This window comes from Homo sapiens, chromosome 8 (assembly GCF_000001405.40).
Source record: "Homo sapiens chromosome 8, GRCh38.p14 Primary Assembly".
Lineage (NCBI taxonomy): Eukaryota > Metazoa > Chordata > Mammalia > Primates > Hominidae > Homo > Homo sapiens.
Window position 1 is genome coordinate 22,263,147 of NC_000008.11, and position 21,199 is coordinate 22,284,345.

Sequence of the window (21,199 nt, forward strand, 5' to 3'; positions counted from 1 at the left end):
CTCTGAGACTTTCCTGACCACCCTACATAAATTAGTAAACTCCCATCCCTGACACTCTTTTTTTTTTTTTTTTTAATTTTTAAGTTGTTATTTTTGTGAGACAGAGTCTCACTCTATCACCCAGGCTGGAGTGCAGTGGCAGTATCTCGGCTCACTGCAACCTCCACCTCCTGGGTTCAGGCAGTTCTCATGTCTCAGCCCCCTCGGTAGCTGGGACTACAGGCACACGCCACCACACCTGGCTAATTTTTATTTTTATTTTTTTCAGTAGAGACGGGGTTTCGTCATGTTGGCCAGGCTGGTCTTGAACTCCTGGCCTCAAGTGATCCACCCACCTCAGCCTCCCAAAAAGTGCTGAGATTACAGGAGTGAGCCGCTCCTGGCCTCTGACAGTCTTTACACCCCTTTTCTTGTTTTCTTTTTCTTTTTCTTTGTTTTCTTTTTCTCCATAGCACTTACATACCATGTATTTCCTTTTCCTGTCGATATTCCCCCTAGAACACAAGCTATAGAGTAGAGATGGTTTTGTTCATGCCTGTATCCCCAGGACTTCTAATTTCTTGCCCATAATAGGCACCAAATAAGTGCTGGTTGAAAGAATAGAGGCATGACTATTATTGCGTGAATGCTGCAAGTATGCACTAAAGAATCTGTAACCACATTTCTGAGCATATAGAGAAAGAAAACTGATAATGGCTGGAAAGTCTCCTAGCTTCCTCCCAGCGGAAGAATGTCCCTCACTTTTCCAGGACACTGACCTCGTAGGGTACGGCTTTGAGTCTATTCAACATACAGTCCTTGTGGCTCCCCAAGCTACGTGTACAATGGGCACTGGTGTTTTACATCAATGTCCTGTGAATGCTCATAAAGGCTGAAGGGCATTCTACCCACCAGTGTGTACTGCACGTAGAGCAGTGCTAGGGTCTTTGGGACCCCACAGCGCTAATGACCCCTTTGACCTAAAAGTCCTCCTGATTGATGATTTTACTGATCGGGGCATGTGCTAAAGGGAGGCAACCATCACCTGGAGGTGCCTCTTGGGAGGTTTTGGATTTGTTGTCTTCCTGACGTAAGACATACACCCCTTTTGAAAAGCAGCTCTTAATGTGCTATTGGGTTCTCGTCAAAACCGAGCACTCATGCCTGTAATCCCAGCCCTTTGGGAGGCCAAGGCAGGAGGATCACTTGAGGCCAGGATTTTGAGACCAGCCTGGACAACATAGCAAGACCCTCATCTCTACAAAAAAAAAAAAAATTAAAAATTATCCAGGAGTGGTGGCACTCACCTGTAGTCCCAGCTACTCGGGAGGCCGAGGCGAGAGGATTGCTTGAGCCCAGAAGTTCCAGGCTGCAGTCAGCCAGGATCACACCACTGTACTCCAGCCTGGATGACAGAGCAAGATGCTGTCTCTTAAAAAAACCCTGAGCACCTGACAAAGTGTGCACAGCACATCCTTATAAAGGCCTTGTGACTGATAGTCCCATTTTGGGGTGGCATGATTCCAACTCAAAGCTAACAATGTGGGAAGGGCCTGACAAGCCTCTCTTGTCCGATGGAAATGGTGCATTCAGTATGCAGCTGGCCTGGCCCTAGTGGCATTTTGGCTTTACATGAATTAAAAAAAAAAACACAAAACGGCAGCTATTCTTTTAGGGGAAATTTTATCCTCCACCCCACAGCCTAAGCAAAGCCACTAGCTCAACAAGGCTCACAATCCACAGAGGTTCCCCTAAATGCCTGTGCCTGGCTCACTGATGGCTTGGCTAAGCTGAAGCCAGTGCTGTCCAACTGGGCTGCTATGTGGAATGGAAAACAGATATGGTCACTCCACTTGGTAGGCAGAACTCAAAGCTGTTCTCATAGCCCAGGTCAGTACTCCTTGATGAACCTCTTTCTGTTATATTTTTACTGACTCAGGCTGCTGACAATGACCTAGCTCCTTAGTTGGGCCACTTGGAAAACTACAGACTGGCAGATAAAGTATTTCTCTAGCCTGGCATGGTGGTGCATACCTGCAATCCCAGCTACTTGGGAGGCTGAGGTGGGAGAATCACTTGAGCGCAAGAGTTAGAGGCTGCAGTGAGCTATGACTGCACCTGCAAATAGTCACTGCACTCTAGCCTGGACAATATAATGAGACACATCTCTAAAAGTAATAATACTTTTTTTAAAAAGATTTTTGTCAGCTGGGTACAGTGGCTCACGCCTGTCATCCCAGCACTTTGGGAGGCCAAGTCAGGCGGATCACCTGAGGTCAGGAGTTCGAGACCAGCCTGGCCAACATGGTGAAATCCCATCTCTACTAAAAATACAAAAATTAGCAGGGCGTGGTGGCGGGTGCCTGTAATCCTAGCCACTTCAGAGGCTGAGGCAGGAGAATCGCTTGAACCTGGGAGGCAGAGGTTGCAGTGAGCCGAGATCGCACCATTGCGCTCCAGCCTGGACCATAAAGCAAGACTCTCTCAAAAAAAAAAAAAAAAGATTTTTGTTTTTGTCTTGTTTTGTTTTGTCTTTGGCCATGAACTGTGGAAGCACATTGCAGCTGCTGATTGAACTGTCTTGGTCGATCTAGGTGCCCATGGTAAGGGTGTCTCTGATGAGACCAACTGGAATCAAGGTGCAGATTGAGTCTGCACTGCCCAGACTAACACCTTTGCTTTCTGGATTGATCATTGTACCAGACATGGCAGCACACCCACAACAGACTGGGCACCTAGTAGAGAACTCTGCTTCAGATTCACAAGCTATCACTGCATGCCAGACTTGCGACTCCTAATAAAAGGAATAACAGGTGAGCCGTTTGTCTCCAGGGAGAAGACCGCATTGCACAGGGTGTGGCAGTTGAGTCCATCCAACCTTTGAACCCCTTTTGGGGCTCCTGGCTTACTGCTGTTGATACTTTTTCAGGTTACAGTGCTGTTATCCTGGTCCAATCAACTGATTCTGGCACATGAAACTAGAACTCCTTGAATCTTGTCATTATTAAGTGAGCCTCTTTTTCTCTAATACTACTTTTTTGCTGTAAGGTTTTCATTGTCTGATATTGACATGGCAACTCCAGCTTGCTTGCTTTTTTGAAGGATTAGTGCTTGCTTGATTTTATTTATTTATTCTTATTTTTTATAGAGATGGGATCCCACTCTGTCACCCAGGCTGGAGTGCAATGGCAGGATCCTAGCTCACTGTAACCTCAAATTCTTCTGCTCAAGCAATCCTCTCGCCTCAGCCTTCCAAGTAGCTAGGACTACAGGCATGCACCACCACACCCAGCAAATTTTTTTTTTGGTAGAAATGGAGTCTCACCAGGTTGCCCAGGCTGGTCTTGAACACCTGGCCTTAAGTTATCTCCCACCTTCCAAAGCACTGGGCCTATGTTTTCACCATCTGAATTTCAACCTTTCTCTGTCATTATATTTTATGTCTACTTATGTCTATCTCTATCTACTAAACACTATATAGCTGGATTCTGTTTTTAAAATCCAATCTGATAATCTCTGTTTTTTTTATTTTTATTTATTTATTTATTTTTTGAGACAGAGTCTTGCTCTGTTGCTCATGCTGAAGTGCAGTCGCATGATCTCAGCTCACTGTGACCTCCATCTCCTGGGTTCAAGCGATTCTCCTGCCTCAGCCTCCTGAGTAGCTGGGACTACGGGCACATGCCACCATGCCCAGCTAAGTTTTTTTTTTTTTCTTTTTCTTAGTAGAGACAAGTTTTCACCATGTTGGCCAGGCTGGTCTCAAACTCCTGAGGTCAAGTGATCCACCCGCCTCAGTCTCCCAAAGTGCTGGAATTACAGGGTGAGCTACCACGCCCAACCAATTTCTGCCTTTTGCCTGGAAAGTTCTACATATTTATATTGTAATTACTAACACAGTAGAATTTATTTCTGTCACTTATTTTATGTTTCCTTTTTGTCCGGATTTTTCTGTGATAAATTTTTATTCTTCTTTGCCTTTTTGTTTAGATTAATTTTTTCTCATTTGTTTTTCCTCCACTGACTGGAAATATATAGATTTTATTTCTTAAAAAAAAAATTGAGACAGGGTCTTGATCTGTTGCCCAGGCTGGAGTGCAGTAGCATGATCACAGCTCACTGCAGCCTCGAACTCCCGGGCTCAAGGGATCTTCCCACTTCAGCCTCCCTAGTAGCTAGGGCTACAGGCGTGTGCCACCATGCCCAGCTAATTTTTTTTCTTTATTTTTTGCAGAGACAGGGTTTCACCATGTTTTGTAGGCTCACTGTATTTCTTTAAAAAATTTTAATGTGCATACTTAGTGAGTGTAAAGTTAATTCTTATTACCCTCCTCCAGAACCTTATAATGCTTTTATTATAATTATCTCTCTCCTGACTTATATGCCTATTTGTCTTAACTTCTTGGCTCTATTTTTTTTTTTTTTTTTGGCTGTTTAAAAACTTCATCGTATTGGACATCTCTATGACCCTTTGCACATCTTCTCAGTCTTACCTGTCTCTTTATTTAGCCAGCACTGTGTTGACCAGTTCTCTGTGGGTACCCACTAGGTCTACACAGATACAACCTGATAGTACTTAACCTCAGGCTTGCTCTGTGCATCTTCTTCCTTCTTCCCTGAGACTTTCGTGTTGATGACAAAGCATGGAAAAGGATGGAACACCATGGTGCAACTACAAAGTACCGGGGTTTAACACTCCTTGAGGCGTGTCTTTGACCAAAGGAAAGGAGAGAGTCAATAGTACAAGCATCCTCCTTGCTCCTGTAGGATAGGTGGTCTTGACATGGACTTTATATGGCTTCTCAAATGGTCCTGACGGATAGAGCAACTAGATCATTGTAGCAGTGGCCAACTTCCTAATGCATCTTTGAGTAAGCTCTCCCTCCCTCCCTGCGTCATTCCCCTGTCCCTTACTCCTAGTCCCTGGGATCACACTCTGCAGTAAAATACTTGCACTAAATCTTTGTCTTAGGCCCTGCCTTCTGAGGATCTAGGCTAAGTCATCCATCTATTGGACACAATTATTACCCCTTTATTCAGTCACTTACTACACTCATGATTCCTTTTTTCTTCCCAGACTTTCCTTCTGGGGGCATTTTTTCTTTTTCTTTTTTTTTCCTTTTTCTTTTTCTTTTCTTTCTTTCTTTTTTTTTTTTTTTTAACAGAGTCTTGTTCTATTGCCCAGGCTGGAACACAAAGGCATGATCTTGACTCACTGCAAACTCCACCTTCCGAGTTCAAGCGATTCTCATGCCTCAGCCTCCCAAATAGCTGGGGTTACAAGCATGCTCCACCATGCCTGGCTAATTTTTGTATTTTTAGTAGAGACGGGGGTTCACCATGTTGCCCAGGCTGGTCTCGAACTCCTGGCATCAACTGATCTGCCTTCCTAGGCCTCCCGAAGTGCTGGGATTACAGGGTGAGCCACCTAACCTAGCCCATTTTTTCTTTATCTTCATGTTTAGAAATTTCTTTAGAGAGGTTTGTTGAAGGTAAATCTGTCAGTTTATGTTTCTCTGAAAATGCTTTATTTTACCCTTGTTTTGGAAAGAAAATTTCACTGGCTATACGATTTCTAGGTTGACAGGTTTTTTTCCCTTAACCTCTCAGGCCTGTGGATATATTATACCCTGTCTTCCAGGATTTTCCTATTAATATTACTGTTACTGAATCCACTTTTCACTCATTTATAGATAATGTGTTTTTTCTTTATGACTGCTTTTTTAGATCTTCTCTTTGCCTTTGGTATTCTGCATTACAATGATGATGTGCTGAGTGTAGATTTCTTTTTACTTCTCTGTTTCAGAGTCACTGGTCTTCTTGAAGCTAAAGATTTGTATCTTTCATCAAATCTAAAAAGTTCATACCCATTAAATTGTTGAATATTGCCTTTCCTCTTTTTTCTGTGTTATCTCCATCTCATACTTTATTGGGCCTTTTAACTCTGTTCTCTGTGTCTCTTAGCCTCTCATGTTTCCATCTCTTTGTCTCTGTGCTACATTCTAGGTAAATATTTCAGCTGATCTTCTAATTCATGATGTCTCTCTTTAGCTGTGTATATTCTCTTGTGTAATTTTCCTTTAAGTGTTTAATTTCTATTACTTTATTCATTTTTAGAAGTTCTGTTTTGGTTCTTTTCCAAACTTGCCTCATCAATTTTGGTTACCTTTGCTTTTTTTTTTTTTGTTTTTTTTTTGAGACAGGATCTCATTCTGTTGCCCAGGCTAGAGTGCAGTGGTGCAATCAGAGCTCACTGCAGCCTCGACCTCCCAGGCTCAAGTGATCTTCCTACGTTAGCCTCCCAAGTAACTGGAACTACAGGCATGCACCACCATTCCTGGCCAATTTTTTTTTTATTACTATTGTTTGTAGAGACAGGGTTTTGCCATGTTGCCCAGGCTGGTCTTGAACTCCTGAGCTAAAGAGATCTGCCCGCCTCAGCCTCCCAAAGTGCTGGGGTTACAGGCATGAACCACTGCACTTGGCCTGCCTTTGCTCTTTACTCATTGTTGCAATTGCCACCTTTATTTCTTGAAACATACTGTTTCATATTTATGAAATGTGCTATTTATTTATATTCCGTGTTCAGTGACACTATTTTTTGAAATATTTCTAGATCTGGTTCTGTTCACTGTAGTTTCTCTATGTTATTTTGTGGTGTTTCTTTTTGTTTGTTGGTTTGGTTTTTTTGAGACAGAGTCTCATTTTGTCACCCAGCCTGGAGTGCAGTGGCATGATCTCAGTCACTACAACCTCCGCCTCCCAGGTTCAAGTGATTCTCCTGCCTCAGCCTCCCAAGTAGCTGGGATTACAGGCGTGTGCCACCATGCCTGGCTAATTTTTGTATTTTTAGTAGAGATGGGGTTTCACCATGTTGGCCAGGCTAGTGTCGAAATCCTGACCTCAAGAGATCTACCCACTGCAGCCTCCCAAAGTGCTCTGCTTATTTTTTAATGTGCGTTTTTTTAAAAATGCCTCTATTAAGATATATTTTAGGCTGGGCGTGGTGGCTCATGCTTTAATCCCAGCACTTTTGGAGGCCGAGGCGGGTGGATCATGAGGTTAGGAGTTCGAGACCAGCCTGGCCAACACAGTGAAACCCCGTCTCTACTAAAAATACAAAAATTAGTTGGGCGTCGTGGCGGGAGCCTGTAATCCCAGGTACTCAGGAGGCTGAGGCAGGAGAATTGCTTGAACCCGGGAGGCAGAGGTTGCAGTGAGCCAAGATCGTACCATTGTACTCCAGCTTGGGCAACAGAACTAGACTCCGTCTCAAAAAAAAGAAAAAGAAAAAAAAGATATATTTTACATATCATATCATATAATTTATCCTATTGAATAATTTTTGGTAAATTTAATGAGTGGTGCAAACATTGCCATAAGTCAGTTTTTGAACATTTTTGTCACCCTAATAAAAGCCCTCATGCACATTTACAGTTCATCCTAATTCCCACCCCAGCCCCAGGCAACCATTAGTTTACATTCTGTCTCTATAGATTTATGTTTTCTAGACATTTCACATAAATGGAATCATACAATATGTGGTCTCTTATGTCTGGTTTCTTTCATTTAACATATTTTTTGGGGTTCATCCATGCCATAGCAGTTTGTTCCTTCTTATTGATGAATCCATCCATTGTGTGAATATATACCACATCTTTATTCCTTTTTTTTTTTTTTTTTTTTTTGAGACAGAGTTTTGCTCTTGTTGCCCAGGCTGGAGTGCAGTGGCGCGATCTTGGCTCACTGCAACCTCTGCCCCCTGGGTTCAAGCGATTCTCCTAGCTCAGCCTCCTGAGTAGCTGGGATTACAGGCGCCTGCCACCACACCCAGCTAATTTTTTGTATTTTTAGTAGAGATGGGTTTTCATCATGTTGGCCAGGCTGCTTTCGAACTCCTGACCTCAGGCGATCCACCCGCCTTGGCCTCCCAAAGTGCAGGGATTACAGGCATGAGCCACCGCACCCGGCCGGGATTACAGGCATGAGCCACCGTGCCCGGCCTCCTTTTTTTTTTTAACGCATCCCCATTGTTAAGCATACAAATTTCTGTTTATTCATTTACCAGTTGATGGACATTTAGGTGAAGTTTTTGGCAATTATCAATAATGCTGCTATGAACATTTGCATGCAAGTTTTGTGTGGACATGTTTTCATTTTTCTTAGGTAGCTACCAAGAAGTGAAATTTTGGTTCCTACAGTAATTTTTTTCTTAACTTTTTGAGAAACTGCCAAATGTTTCCCAAAGAGGCTGCATCATTTTACATTCCCACTGGCAATGTCTGAGGGTTCCTGTTCCACCACATCCTTGCTGACTTCTGTTATTCTATTAGTCAGACAGGCCTGCCATAACAAATTGCCACAGACTGGGTGGCCTCAGCAACACACATTTGTTTTCTCACAGCTCTGGAGACTATGATTCTATGATCAAGGTGCTGGCAAATTTGATTTCTGGTGAGTACCATCTCCCTAGTTTATAGATGGCCGCCATCTTGCTGTGTCCTCACATGGCCTTGTCTCTGTGCTTCCATGAAGAGAGAGGGATAGAGATAGAGAAAGATCTCATGTCTTTCTCTTCTGATAAGGACACAAATCCTATCAGATTAGAGCTCCTCCTTACCTCATTTATGTTAATTATCTCCCTACATACTTTATCTCCAAATACAGGGGATTAGGGCTTCAACATAGGTTTTGCAAGGAGGACACAATTCACTCCCTAACATTCCTCCCTCTGTCCCCCGCAAATTCATGTTCTTCTCACATGCAACACATTCGCCCCATCCTAACAGCCCCCAAAGTCTTACACCGTTTCAGTATCAATTGCAAGTCTAAGATCTCATCTAAATACAATAGGCCCTCCCTATCCACGGGTTCTGCATCCATGGATTAAACCAACCACAAATCAAAAATATTTGGAAAAAACAAAAAGGATGGCTGCATCAGTACTGAACAGGTGCAGACTTTTTTCTTGTAATTATTCCCTAAACAATACAGTGTAACAACTATTTATGTAGCATTTACACTGTATTTGGTATTATAATTCATCTAGAGACAATTTAAAGTATACAGGGAAATGTGCATAGGTTATATGCAAATATAAAATACACCATTTTATATAAGAGACTTGAGCATCTGTGAATTTTGGTATCCATGGAGGGAGGTCCTAAAAACCAATACTCTGCAGATACTGAAGGACAAATTCCATTAAATTTTACGGCTCCAGTCAGGGGTGGTGGCTCACACCCATAAGCCACTGAGTTCAAGACCAGCCTGGGCAATATGGTGAAACCCTGTCTCTACTAAAGGGCTTATTAGTTCCAACAAGAGCTGGTTGTTAAAAAGAACCTAGCGCTTCCCTCCCCTCTCTTGCTTCCTCTCTCTCCATGTAATCTCTGCACAGGCCGGGTCTCTTTGCCTTCTGCCATGAGTGGAAGCACCCTGAGGTCCTCACCAGGTGTCCAGTCTTGAACCTTCCAGCCAGCATAACCATGAGCTCGATAAACCTCTTTTCTTTATAAATTACCCAGCCTCAGGTATTCCTTTATAGTAACACTAAAGGGACTAATGGACTGACACAGGTCCACTCACATCTTTTGGCCCCCCCCCCTTTTTTTTTGAGAGAGAGTTTTGCACTTGTTGCCCAGGCTGGAGTGCAGTGGCGTGATCTCAGCTCACTGTAACCTCCGCCTCCCGGGTTCAAGTGATTCTCCTGCCTCAGCCTCACGAGTAGCTGGGATTACAGGCACCACACCAACATGCCTGGCTAATTTTTATGTTTTTAGTAGAGACAGCATTTCACCATGTTGGCCAGGCTGGTCTCGAACTCCTGACCTCAGGCCATCTGCCCACATTGGCCTCCTAAAGTGCTGGGATTACAGATGTGAGCCACCATACCTTTTGCCCATTTTTTTATTAGATTGTGTGTCCTCCTGTTATTCGGCCTGATGTGTTTCGTGAGCTCATATTTATTCATACCTTTTACGTGGGAGTTTTGGGAGCCTGGTGTATTTCTCCTGAAAGGATTTCTAGTTATCTCTGCCAGGAACCCAGACATACTACATAGGTCTACTTTAAATGAAATCCTTCCTATAGGTTTTAGGCCCCACCAGTAATGTAATTTTCTGCCCTTAATCTTGCTGTGGCTCTGGGGATCTTATTTTCTGAACAGCAGCAACAACAACAACAACAAACCAGAATACATGGTTGGAATAGAAATATTTATGGTGACCAAGTGCCCAGGGTATTTGGAGTCATGACTGCCTAGGAAAATTCAGGTTATGTATAGTTATGGGGCCATTTTCACTCTGAATTTTAGAGACTGGCAGGGCCAGGTGGACAGAATTTGGTGTTACGACTTTTTTGAGTTAAAAAAAAAATCTGTGATTTATCTCAAAATACTATCTCTTAGTGTGATATACGTGCTCTTTTTGCCCCTTTCATTTTTAATTAACAAATAGCAATTACATATGGTTATGTGGTACAGTATGATATTCTGATATTTATTTACATTGTGGAATGATTAAACCAAATTAACATATCCATCACCTCACATACTCATCTTTTTGTGATGAGATTATGTGTGTCCTTTTTAATCAATATCCTAGGGATGGCTAATTAACAATTAAAGTACTCTGTTAGGGAATATAATCTCCAAAAGAGGTTGATTAGCTTTTGAAAGGTCCTAAATAGATGTCCACGTTTCAGAAAGCTTCAACCATTTTTATGTCCAATCAACAGCAGGACTATATGGATTTTCCTTTGGTTAAATAAGTAGTGTTAATGATGTCTGGATTAGCTAGAAATACTGTACGAAGGCCACCTACACTTGCATGGATGGACAGGATATAGAAATCTAGGAAACCCAATGTGCATACCCTTTGTAATGGTGCTCTTGGTTTAGGTTCCCAAATAGAAGACATACTCAGGAAATTATCTGAGGATTATTATTCCCTTACTTCAACTAGAAGATTTGCTGAATCCTGCCCCCAAAATATTGTTTCATGTGTATAGAATAAGTGTGTCATGCAAAGTTTGGTCGGAGTTCCTAAAAGAACAAGGAGTTGGATCTTCACGAAAGTTACAAAACAGTTTGTATAACTGTTTTTGACTGCACTTGCTACCATTAAGTATTTGCACAGGCAGGAGAATTGCTTACAACATAACATTGCAACAGCTGCAAGTTAAGAAGGTTGTGTGGTAAAGGAAGTGAAAATGTTAGATCATGGTAAACAAATACTATCTAGGAACAGTGAAGGGGCATCGTGCCAACTGGATTCCTGAGTTGAAAATCATCCTGCTCCAATAATTTTCAGACTATCCTCATTCGGGAAGGATAGGGAGGGCCCTTGTATGTGTGGATTAAAATAAGTCATGGGATATCTGAGGCCTGGAAAAAATAAGGTTAACCCTTCTCTAGTCCTATTCCATGCAGAGCCCTTGGATGTCTCTATAGCATCCGCCAAAGCCTTCAGAAGCTTTACCTCAACCACACTGTAAAACCTGGGTGTGGGAGAGGGATGCAGTTATTTGACAAAATGGTTGGGAGAGGGTCAGAAATCTTTCTTTGGGTAAAATCATTCTGTAGTTGCTGAAGTAACCACTGATAATTTAATCTGCTTCCTAGAAAGCTCTTCTTGGCTCACAGATTTAGGCATCAATAAAAATAGGCAACATTTATCGAGGGTCGTCTTCTCCTTGTGCTAAGTATTTTACATACGTTATGTCATTATGTGTGTACATTTCCATTCAACCCTATGAATGGATGTTTTTAGTTTTTATCTCTGTTTTATGTATAACGAAAGTGATGTGCAGAAATCATATGAATTAGGTGTTTGAATGCGCACTCGAGCTTACCGTTTCTTTTTCACCACCTGTATCGCTAATCCTCTTAACTGGCAGGAATGGGGCAAGTCAATTTCAACACGCGAGTCTTAGGCTAAATCTGTTTATAGGAGTTGCCCCCAGAAAGGGAGTCAGGATCTCCAAACCCTAACACATTTTAACGCTGAGGTTCACATAACTCCCAGCGCTCCTTCCGCACGAACCGCCCCTGCACAGGGAACCTGCTGGAAAGGACGAGCCTCTCTTGCAGATGGGCCAATTAGATAGCTTGCTCTTGTGAACGACAGGTCTTGTGGCCAATGGGCTCATCCCCGGAGGCCTCGAAGAGCGGAAATTGGCCCTGGAGCATGTGGGCCCCGGGGCGTGGGTTGAGCTCGGTCTTCCCCTGAGGCCGCGCGGAGCTGGGCGACTGGGGCGAGGACTCGCGCACAGGTGAGTACTGGCCCCGGTTGCGGCATGCCAGGCAGGCCAGGGTCGCTCGGGGGCGGGCAGGTTGGGTTTTTGCTCAAGCACGTGGGGTGAGCCGCCCTCCCGGGCCTCTCCCCTCCCACTTCGGGGAGCTGCTGAGGGTTGCGGGTCGGGCGGGGGCGGGAAGTCGTTATTCGAGGCCCGGCGCCGCGGCCCCAAGAAGGTGTCCAGGTTGGGGCGGCAGGGGAGGCCCTCCGGAGGCCCAAGTGGACGTCTTATTTGGCCTGAGAGAGGAGATAGAACCCCTGGCAGGGCTGTGGCTTTGGGGAAAGGTGCTTTTCTCGGGGTGGAAAGGGGATGGGACTCGCCTTCGGGGGCCTTGCTTCTGGTTAGGCCCGAGTCGCGAGGCCTCAGCGCGGAGCACGCACCCAGGGATGCGAGGGAGGCAGGCCCAGCCCGTCCTGGGTTCGCTCCCCATTGAACCTTTCGGACAGCCAAGTATCTGCTACCTGATCCCAGGGGGAAACCCACACTGGGAGAGGGCCCTCTGGGGGAGCTACCTGAATCTATAGAAGTGGTGCTGGAGGTTGAGGGAAGCGTGGACAAAGAGGAAGATTCCAGATGTCCCTTAAGGGAGGCCGTCCAGCGCTTCTGAGTATGTAGCTGTTAGCATACTGATTGCTTGGGATTCTTTGGGTGGTGTTGGGGAGGTGTGAGCAGAGTCCTGGCTCACCGAAAAGGGGTGTTAGCAGTTAAATATAGCCTTCAAGAAAGGGAGTCATATCCTGCGTTTAGAGTGTGAAAGAGGATAGTTTAGTTCAATAAATTTTGCAAGTTCCTGAACTGTCTGCACTTACGCTGTGGGTTTATGAATTGTGTGTTAATATTTTCTTTAAATGTATGATTTCTCTGTAGCTAATACTTAAGACAGCTTTTTTGTTTGTTTGTTTGTTTGTTTTGAGACGGAGTCTCGCTCCGTAGCGCAGGCTGGAGTGCAGTGGCGTGATCTCTGCTCACTGCAACCTCCGCCTCCCAGGTTCAAGCGATTCTCCTGCCTCTGCCTCCCGAGTAGCTGGGATTACAGGCGCAGGCCACCATGCCCAGCTAATTTTTGTATTTTTAGTAGAGATGAGGGTTCACCATTTTGGTCAGGCTGGTCTCGAACCCCTGACCTTGTGATCTGCCCACCTTGGCCTTCCAGAGTGCTGGGATTACAGGCGCGAGCCACCACCCCCGGCCAAGACAGCTTTTTGAAAGTTAAGAAGAGGCTTCTCCCAGCATTTGGGGAGTCTGAGGTGAGAGGATCACTTGAGGTCAGCAGTTTGAGACCAGCCTGGGCAACATGGCAAGATCCCGTCTCTACAAATTTTTTTTAAAAATTAGCTGGGTATGGTGGCAGGTGCCTGAAGTCCTAGCTACTTGGGAGGCTGAGACAAGAGGACTGCTTGAGCACAGGAGGTTGAGACTGCAGTGAGCTAAGATGCCACCACTTCACTGTAGCCTGGATGACAGAACAAGACCCTGTCTCTTAAAAAAAAAAAATTCTTTTCCGTTAAGAAATATTTTTCAGGAATCAGGGGCAAGTCAGGACAATGAGAGGAGCCCCTTAAAGAGGGAGTCTTGAAATCTGTAGGTTATAAAGTGATATATATATATATATTTTTTTTTTTGAGACAGAATCTTGTGCTGTCACCCAGGCTGGAGTGCCACGATCTTGACTCACTGCAACCTCCGCCTCCTGGGTTCAAGCAATTCTTGTGCCTCAGACTCCTGAGGAGGGGGGATTACAGGCATGCACCACCATGCCTGGCTAATTTTTGTATTTTTAGTAAAGACAGGGTTTCATCATGTTTGCCACGCTGCTCTTGAGCTCCTGATCTCAAGTGATCCACCCGCCTCGGCCTCCCAAAGTGCTGTGATTACAGGCATGGGCCACCATGCCCGACCTACAGGTTATGAAGTGATTTTGAAGAGACCTGATGGGCTTTAGATTTGGTAGGGAAGCCAGGGAGAGCCTCACCCCGGGTAACCTGGGAGAGAGAAGGGTGTTAAATGCAACCTGTGAGACTGAGCAAGTATTGTAGGCTCAAAGCAGAAAGACTGTGTACTCTGGAGACTTCTGATGGAGTTTGAAAGAAGAGAGTTTTTAAAATTTTTTTTTCTATTTTTTAATTATTTGTAGAGACAGGGTCTCGTTGTGTTCCTAAGACTGGCCTCAAACTCCTGGCCTCAATGGTCCTCCCACCTGGGCCTCCCAGAGTGCTGGGATTACAGGCATGAACCACTGTGTGTGTGTGCTCAGCCTGAAGGAAGAATTTTGTAAAAAAGAATTGGATAGAGATTCGGAGAAGCAGCTAAACAGATCAAGGAAGAGAATTTGGTGCAATCATAGACTGGAAAAAAGTTAGGACTCTTATGTAGGAAAGAGAGGCCAAAAACAAAGCAAAAACCCATAAATATTTGTTGACAATAATTTTATGATATGGCTGTGTTAACTATGAAATTGTTTATAGGCCAGGCACAGTGGCTCACACCTGTAATCCCAGCACTTTGGGAGGCCCAGGTGGGCTGATCGCCTGAGGTCGGGAGTTCGAGACCAGCCTGACCAACATAGAGAAACCCCGTCTCTATTAAAAATACAAAATTAGCCGAGCATGGTGCTGCATGCCTGTAATCCCAGCTACTCGGGACGCTGAGGCAGGAGAATCACTTGAACCCAGGAGGCAGAGGTTGCGGTGAGCCAAGATTGCACCATTGCACTCCAGCCTTGGCAATAAGAGTGAAACTCCGTCTAAAAAAAAAAGGGGGGGAGGAAAAGAAATTGTTTATAAACCAAAGTCATCCTCATACATAAAAACTGCCTTAGCCAGGTGCAGTGGCTCACACCTATTATCCCAGCATTTTGGGATGCTGAGGCAGCAGATCTCTTGAGCCCAGGTGTTTGAGACCAGCCTTGGCAACGTGGCAAGACCCCGTCTGTACAAAAAATGTACAAATTAGCTGGGTGTTGTGGTGCATGCCTGTAGTCCCAGCTACTCAGGAGACTGAGATGTGAGGGTCACTTGAGCCCAGGAGGTCAAGGCTGCAGTGAGCCATGATCATGCCACTGCACTCCAGCCTGGGCGACAGAAGGAGACCCTCCTAAAAAACTGCTTCCTTATACAACAGCTAGTTAACTCACAGGACTGAGTTTTGTGAGAGGCTATTTGGGTAGAAAATATAAGTAAGTTCAAGGAGGACACGGGCCTCTAAGGCAGGGGTTCCCAACCCCCAGGCCACAGGCTGGTTGGGGGGCCTGTTAGGAACTGGGCTGCACAGCAGGAGGTGAGAGATTGGCAAATGAGCAAAGCTTCATCTGTATTGACAGCTGCTCCCCATGGCTTGTAGTATCACCTGAGCTCTGCCTCCTGTCGGATCACTGGTGGCATTAGATTCTCATTGTGCAAACCCTCTTGTGAACTTCGCATTGGAGGGATCTAGGTTGCATCCTCCTTATGAGAATCTAATGCCTGATGATCTGTCACTGTCTCCCATCACCCACAGATGGGACCAGCTAGTTGCAGGAAAACAAGATCAGGGCTCCCACTGATTCTACATTATGGTGAATTGTATAATTATTATATTTCATTATCTATTATAATGTAATAATAGAAATAAAGTACACAATAAATGTAATGTATTTGAGTCACTCTGAAACCATCCCCCCACCCCTGGGTCCATGGAAAAATTATCTTCCAGGAAACCAGTCTCTGGTGCCAAAAAGGTTGGGGACCACTGCTCTGAGGGATTGTTAATGAAGGATGTTTAGAATATTACAGATCAAATAGAAGCCTTTGAAGTGAATATGTTGTAGAAGGCTAGGCGTGTTACTGGACTGACTCAAAATACTATTTTAATGCTTTGTGAGTGTGTCTTGAAGGAAAAGGAAAACAATTGGGAATCTTAATCTTTTGAAAATGATGGCAGGTAATTAACCAGAACAGGATCGACACGTGTTCTCTACAGCCCGTCCATGGATCCTTTCCGACCATCGTTCAGGGGCCAGTCTCCTATCCACCCATCCCAGTGCCAGGCTGTACGGATGCCAGGCTGTTGGCCACAAGCTTCTAAACCTTTGGACCCAGCTCTGGGCAGGGGAGCACCTGCAGGCAGAGGCCATGTATTTGGAAAGCCAGAGGAACCAAGCACACAGAGGGGGCCAGCACAAAGGGTAAGACCACTTCCGGATGCATAGGAGTGGCATACAGCTTACCTGTGTGCCGTCAGAGGAAGTAATGGATTTCAAAGTGCTTGCAGGGCTGGGCACGGTGGCTCACGCCTGTAATCCCAGCACTTTGGGAGGCCGAGGCAGGTGGATCATCTGAGGTCGGGAGTTCAAGACCAGCCTGGCCAACCAACATGGTGAAACCCTGTCTCTACTGAAAATACAAAAATTAGCCAGGTGTGGTGGCGGGTACCTGTAATCCCAGCTACTCAGGAAGCTAAGGCAGGATAATTGCTTGAACCGTGGAGGCGGAGGTTGCGGTGAGCTGAGATCTCGCCAGTGCACTCCAGCCTGGGCAACAGAGCGAGACTCCATCTCAAACAATGACAACAAAGTGCTTGCAAAACTGGGAAGCCCTAAACAGAAACAAGGTTGTCTTTTTTTTTCTTTAACAAGTAGATACATCTGGGCAAATATTTCAAATCTAGAGTTTCTAGAGGTATGAAGAAGTACCTCATAATGAGCGCTAGATGGACTTGGTAAGTACCATAGGTCCTCTAGCTTCCGATCATCCCTCCATCCCTCCATCTGTAATTGTTAGGTCTAAAGGTACAATCTCTTGTTGTTTTCTGAATATTTAGATTTTCACCTGGTTTTGGCTCTATGATATTAGCAGCAGTTTCTGCCTCTGAGGTAATAATACTTTTGTTCATTTTGGAAGGCTCATTGCCCAAATCTTAAAGAAAAAGGATCTTCAGTTATTGCTGCTGCTGTGTGAACACTTAACGTGTATATGTTCTTAAACTTTTAATTATAAAGTAATTTTAAGAATAATATTTGTCTATAATTAATATATCAAAGAGAGTTAGCAAATATAGGGAGAACCTAATGAAGTTATGATTATTTTAAGTAGAGTTTACATTTGTCAAATGTATTATTTTTATAAGGAGAAAAGTTTATGAAAGTAATCTTACATGTTGACTCAAATGAATTGCTTGAGTCTATATGTAGCTTTTATTCATGTCAGATCCAACTGGTATAACAGTAGTAGACATTCAAGACTGCCACAGGAAAACAGTAGCAGGTTACACAAACCTCTGATACTCATAAATGATCCAGCTTTTTTGAAATGTATTAACCAGTACACTTGTTCTCTCTTGCCTTGAATATGCAGAAAATAGAAAAATGGAAAAGTTCTGTTGCATTTTGTTATACTGTTTATCAAATCAAAATGGAAAAATTAACTCTGTTCTGTTGCATTTTGTTATACTGTTTATCAAATCAAAATGGAAAAGTTAATTCTGTTCTGTTGCATTTTGTTATACTGTACACATCAAATCATGGGCCATAACTGTAACTGTGCTTTAAGACCTAATATTACATAGTTACAGGTATTTTTTAAAGTTTATAAAATGTTTCCCTTTATTCTTATAACATGTATAGAATTTGAAGATGATTTTATTATATACCAAGACTAAGAAAGCCCTTGTTTCTGGGGTTTTAAACTACCTCTTAGAACTTTATTCTTTGACTTTCCACAGGAGTCTGTGGGTTTGGTCTCCATGTTCCGAGGCCTGGGCATTGAAACAGTTTCTAAGACCCCTCTGAAACGGGAAATGCTTCCATCAGGTATGTGGAAAACTAACTTGAGAAATTTGGTGGTATGTATGATTGGTTTCTTCTAAAATCCAAATGGTTTATTTTCAGAAACGTAACTGTGCTTTTTTTAAAAAAAAAAACTATACTTTAAAACACGTTTAAGTCATAGTCATTGCTGGGGTTCGGTTCTTTCTTTCAGGTAGAGGCATTTTAGGTCGAGGCTTGTCTGCTAATCTGGTACGCAAGGACAGGGAGGAACTCTCTCCCACTTTTTGGGATCCAAAAGTGTTGGCGGCTGGGGACAGCAAGATGGCAGAGACCTCCGTTGGTTGGAGTAGGTGGGTAAAGTTACCCTCTCAGGTAACTATCAAATTCAGATGGAATATCTCTGTAAGTTCAGAGAGCAACTCTAAGAAGAGTTGTGTCATCTCATAATCAATGTCTGGTTTTATATTAAAGAATGCATATTTCTCAAGAGTAGTCAGCAGCTGTTAACACAGCTAGGCATTGGAAAAGGGTAAGAAGTAGTTCTCCACTGGGCTGTTCAAAAATTCATTTGTCCTCTTAAAAAATTACCCTGATCATGGTGATTTTTTTTTTTTTTTTTTTTTTGAGATGAAGTTTTGCTCTGTCTCCCAAGCTGGAGTGCAATGCCTCAATCTTGGCTCACTGCAACCTCCGCCTCCCAGGTTCAAGCAATTCTCCTGCCTCAGCCTCCCAGGTGTCTGGGACTACAGGCATGTGGCACCATACCCAACTAATTTTTTGTATTTTTAGTAGAGACGAGGTTTCACTGTGTTCGCCAGGCTGGTCTTGAGCTCCTGACCTCAGGCAGTCCACCCACCTCGGCCTCCCAAAGTGCTGAGATTACAGGCATGAGCCCCACTGTGCGTGGACTTTTTTTTTTTTTTTTTTTTTTAAGGGATGGGGTCTCACTGTGTTGACCGGGCTGGAATGCAGTGGGGCAATCTTGGCTCACTGCAACCTCCACCTCCCAGGTTCAAGCGATTCTCCTGCCTCAGTGTGCCGAGTAGCTGGGACTACAGGTGTGCGCCACCACACCCGGCTTTTTTTTTTTTTTTTTTTTTTTTTTTGGAGACAGTCTCACTCTGTCACCAGGCTGGAGTGCAGTGGCACGATCTTGGCTCACTGCAACCTCCGCCTCACACCCAGCTAATTTTTGTATTTTTAGTAGAGACGGGGTTTCATCTTATTAGCCAGGTTGGTCTCAAACTCCTGACATCAGGTAATCCTCCCGCCTTGGCTTCCCAGAGAGCTGGGATTATAGGCGTGAGCCCCTGCACGCAGCCGTGGTGATTCTTTAATAACGTTGAGTCAAACTTTCTCCTCTATTCTGCTATGGAAGATGGCTCTGACAGTCAATAGCAGTTGGTGAATGAGTCATGGTGGCATATGTTGTGTTTTTTTTTTGAAATTCGTTCTATCTCTGTCACCCAGGCTTTAGTGCAGTGGTGTGATCTCAGCTCACTGCAGCCTCGACCTCCCAGGCTGAAGTGATCCTCCCACCTCAGCCACCCGAGTAGCTGGGACTACAGTTATGAGCCACCATACCTGGCTAATTTTTGTATTTTTTATAGTGCGGGGTCTCACTGTATTGTTTAGGCTGGTCTTGAACTCCTGGGCTCAAGCAGTCTCCCCACCTTAGCTTCCCAAAGTGCTAGGGTTACAGGCGTGAGCCACTGTGCCTGGCCTTGGCATATGTAGTTTGAGAGAATTTGAAACTTGGATCCCTTTTGCTGTCTCCTCCAGGAAGAGATTGTGGAGTTGGGGGAATAATCTGGATGGGACATAGCTATTATAAAAAACCCTGATTTGCCTCTCTCTCCACATTTCAGGACGCTTGGAAGAGGGAGTTCAGATGCGTCTTTATTACCACTGGGAAGAGCAGCAGGTGGTATCAGCAGAGAAGTGGACAAGCCTCCCTGTACCTTCAGCACACCGTCCCGGGGTCCCCCGCAGCTGTCATCACCACCAGCTCTGCCCCAGTCTCCCCTGCACTCTCCAGATCGCCCTCTGGTCCTGACTGTGGAACACAAGGAAAAGTAAGTCAGGAGCACTGCCTTCTCTACTTAGTAATGATCGTGAAAACTCTGCATTTTGGCTCGTGTGTAGTATTGTAAAATCTGTTTGTGTTGGGTCCTCCCTGGGTAATAATACTGCGGGGTGTTTTGTTTTTTGCCAGTGGGAGATTGACAAAGAGATAGGACAATTTATTTTTTCTTCTTTTTGAGACGGAGTCTCACTCTGTCGCCCAGGCTGCAGTGCAGTGGTGCAATCTTGGCTCATTGTAACCTCCGCCTCGCGGGTTCAAGCAATTCCCCTGCCTCAACCTCCCAAGTAGTTGGGATTATAGGCGCCCGCCATCACCCCCACCTAATTTTTTTGTATTTTTAGTAGAGATGGGGTCTCACCACCTTGGCCAGGCTGGTCTTGAACTCCTGACCTCGTGATCCACCCGCCTCGGCCTCCCAAGGTGCTGGGATTACAGGTGTGAGCCACTGTGTCCGGCCAAGGTGGGACAATTTCTGAAGTTAGATGTGTTTGACAGTGGACATATAGCATGCAACTAATGAGTGGACTCACGGCCTTTCGTTTCCTTCCCAATTGAGACAATTCCTTGTCATGTTGAAGATAAGGAAATAATTTAGGAAGAATATCGTGACGCTTCATCTTTCTCCATAGAACTCATTCTTGTGTTCCTAGTTAATGGGACTAGTTTATTTGGTAATGTTACTAGGAAAGGTAGGGTGACCTTGCTTATCTAATTAGGTCTTGCTAACGATTTGCCTTCTAGCCTTCAGAGCTTGCTTCTGTAAGTGTTGCCTCTTGATATGTGTATCTGTAGCAAAATGTGAAAAAATGTTACTTCCCCCAATCTTCTTGTTGTTGGTTGTGTGGGTTGGTTAGTTATTTTGTTTTTTTGTTTTTGATATATGCAGTTGCTTTTTGTTTTTATTTTCTAGAGAGCTTATTGTGAAGCAAGGATCAAAAGGAACACCTCAGTCTTTGGGACTGAACCTCGTCAAAATACAGTGTCATAATGAAGCAGTTTATCAATATCATGTGACTTTCAGGTATTCACAGCTTTCCTTTGTATTGTTCACTTCTTAAAGGGCAGTAAAAAAAATAGTTCCCCTGGAATAACTG

General features: G+C 44.2%; 1 protein-coding gene and 1 long non-coding RNA gene across 7 annotated transcripts in view, besides 2 other annotated features; one reads left to right on the forward strand and one right to left on the reverse strand.

Moving 5' to 3' along the window:
* PIWIL2-DT (PIWIL2 divergent transcript) overlaps positions 1 to 12,016 on the reverse strand; it is a 20,587-nt gene extending 8,571 nt beyond the window's left edge. Inside the window, exon 1 of the long non-coding RNA NR_134293.1 lies at positions 11,833 to 12,016. This is a non-coding gene — a long non-coding RNA (PIWIL2 divergent transcript). The remainder of the gene's footprint in view (positions 1 to 11,832) is intronic.
* Positions 7,314 to 7,483: an enhancer, noted in NCBI's record as "experimental_102836 CRE fragment used in MPRA reporter constructs". NCBI's record gives its function as "activates a minimal promoter by MPRAs in K562 erythroleukemia cells, with activity observed for the non-introgressed 8:22128058 variant allele {active_cell/tissue: K562}" and the evidence as "EXISTENCE:reporter gene assay evidence [ECO:0000049][PMID:34662402]".
* A 153-nt stretch (positions 12,017 to 12,169) lies between the features above and the next one.
* PIWIL2 (piwi like RNA-mediated gene silencing 2) overlaps positions 12,170 to 21,199 on the forward strand; it is an 82,253-nt gene continuing 73,223 nt past the window's right edge. For 3 of the 6 annotated variants that reach the window (NM_018068.5, NM_001330480.2, XM_005273551.5), the window contains exons 1-6: positions 12,170 to 12,252; positions 16,195 to 16,438; positions 17,974 to 18,061; positions 18,231 to 18,369; positions 19,888 to 20,094; positions 21,016 to 21,126. In NM_018068.5, the coding sequence (NP_060538.2) occupies positions 16,241 to 16,438; positions 17,974 to 18,061; positions 18,231 to 18,369; positions 19,888 to 20,094; positions 21,016 to 21,126 (743 nt within the window). In that variant the 5' untranslated portion in view covers positions 12,170 to 12,252; positions 16,195 to 16,240. Of the gene's footprint in view, positions 12,253 to 12,420; positions 12,884 to 16,194; positions 16,439 to 17,973; positions 18,062 to 18,230; positions 18,370 to 19,887; positions 20,095 to 21,015; positions 21,127 to 21,199 lie in introns of those variants that run through there. The other 3 variants (NM_001135721.3, XM_047421924.1, XM_047421925.1) reach the window with 1 other exon arrangement.
* Positions 12,450 to 13,095: an enhancer, noted in NCBI's record as "H3K27ac-H3K4me1 hESC enhancer chr8:22133109-22133754 (GRCh37/hg19 assembly coordinates)". NCBI's record gives its function as "activates a minimal SCP1, AML or CMV promoter by ChIP-STARR-seq in naive and primed H9 embryonic stem cells {active_cell/tissue: H9 hESC(naive and primed)}" and the evidence as "EXISTENCE:reporter gene assay evidence [ECO:0000049][PMID:30033119]".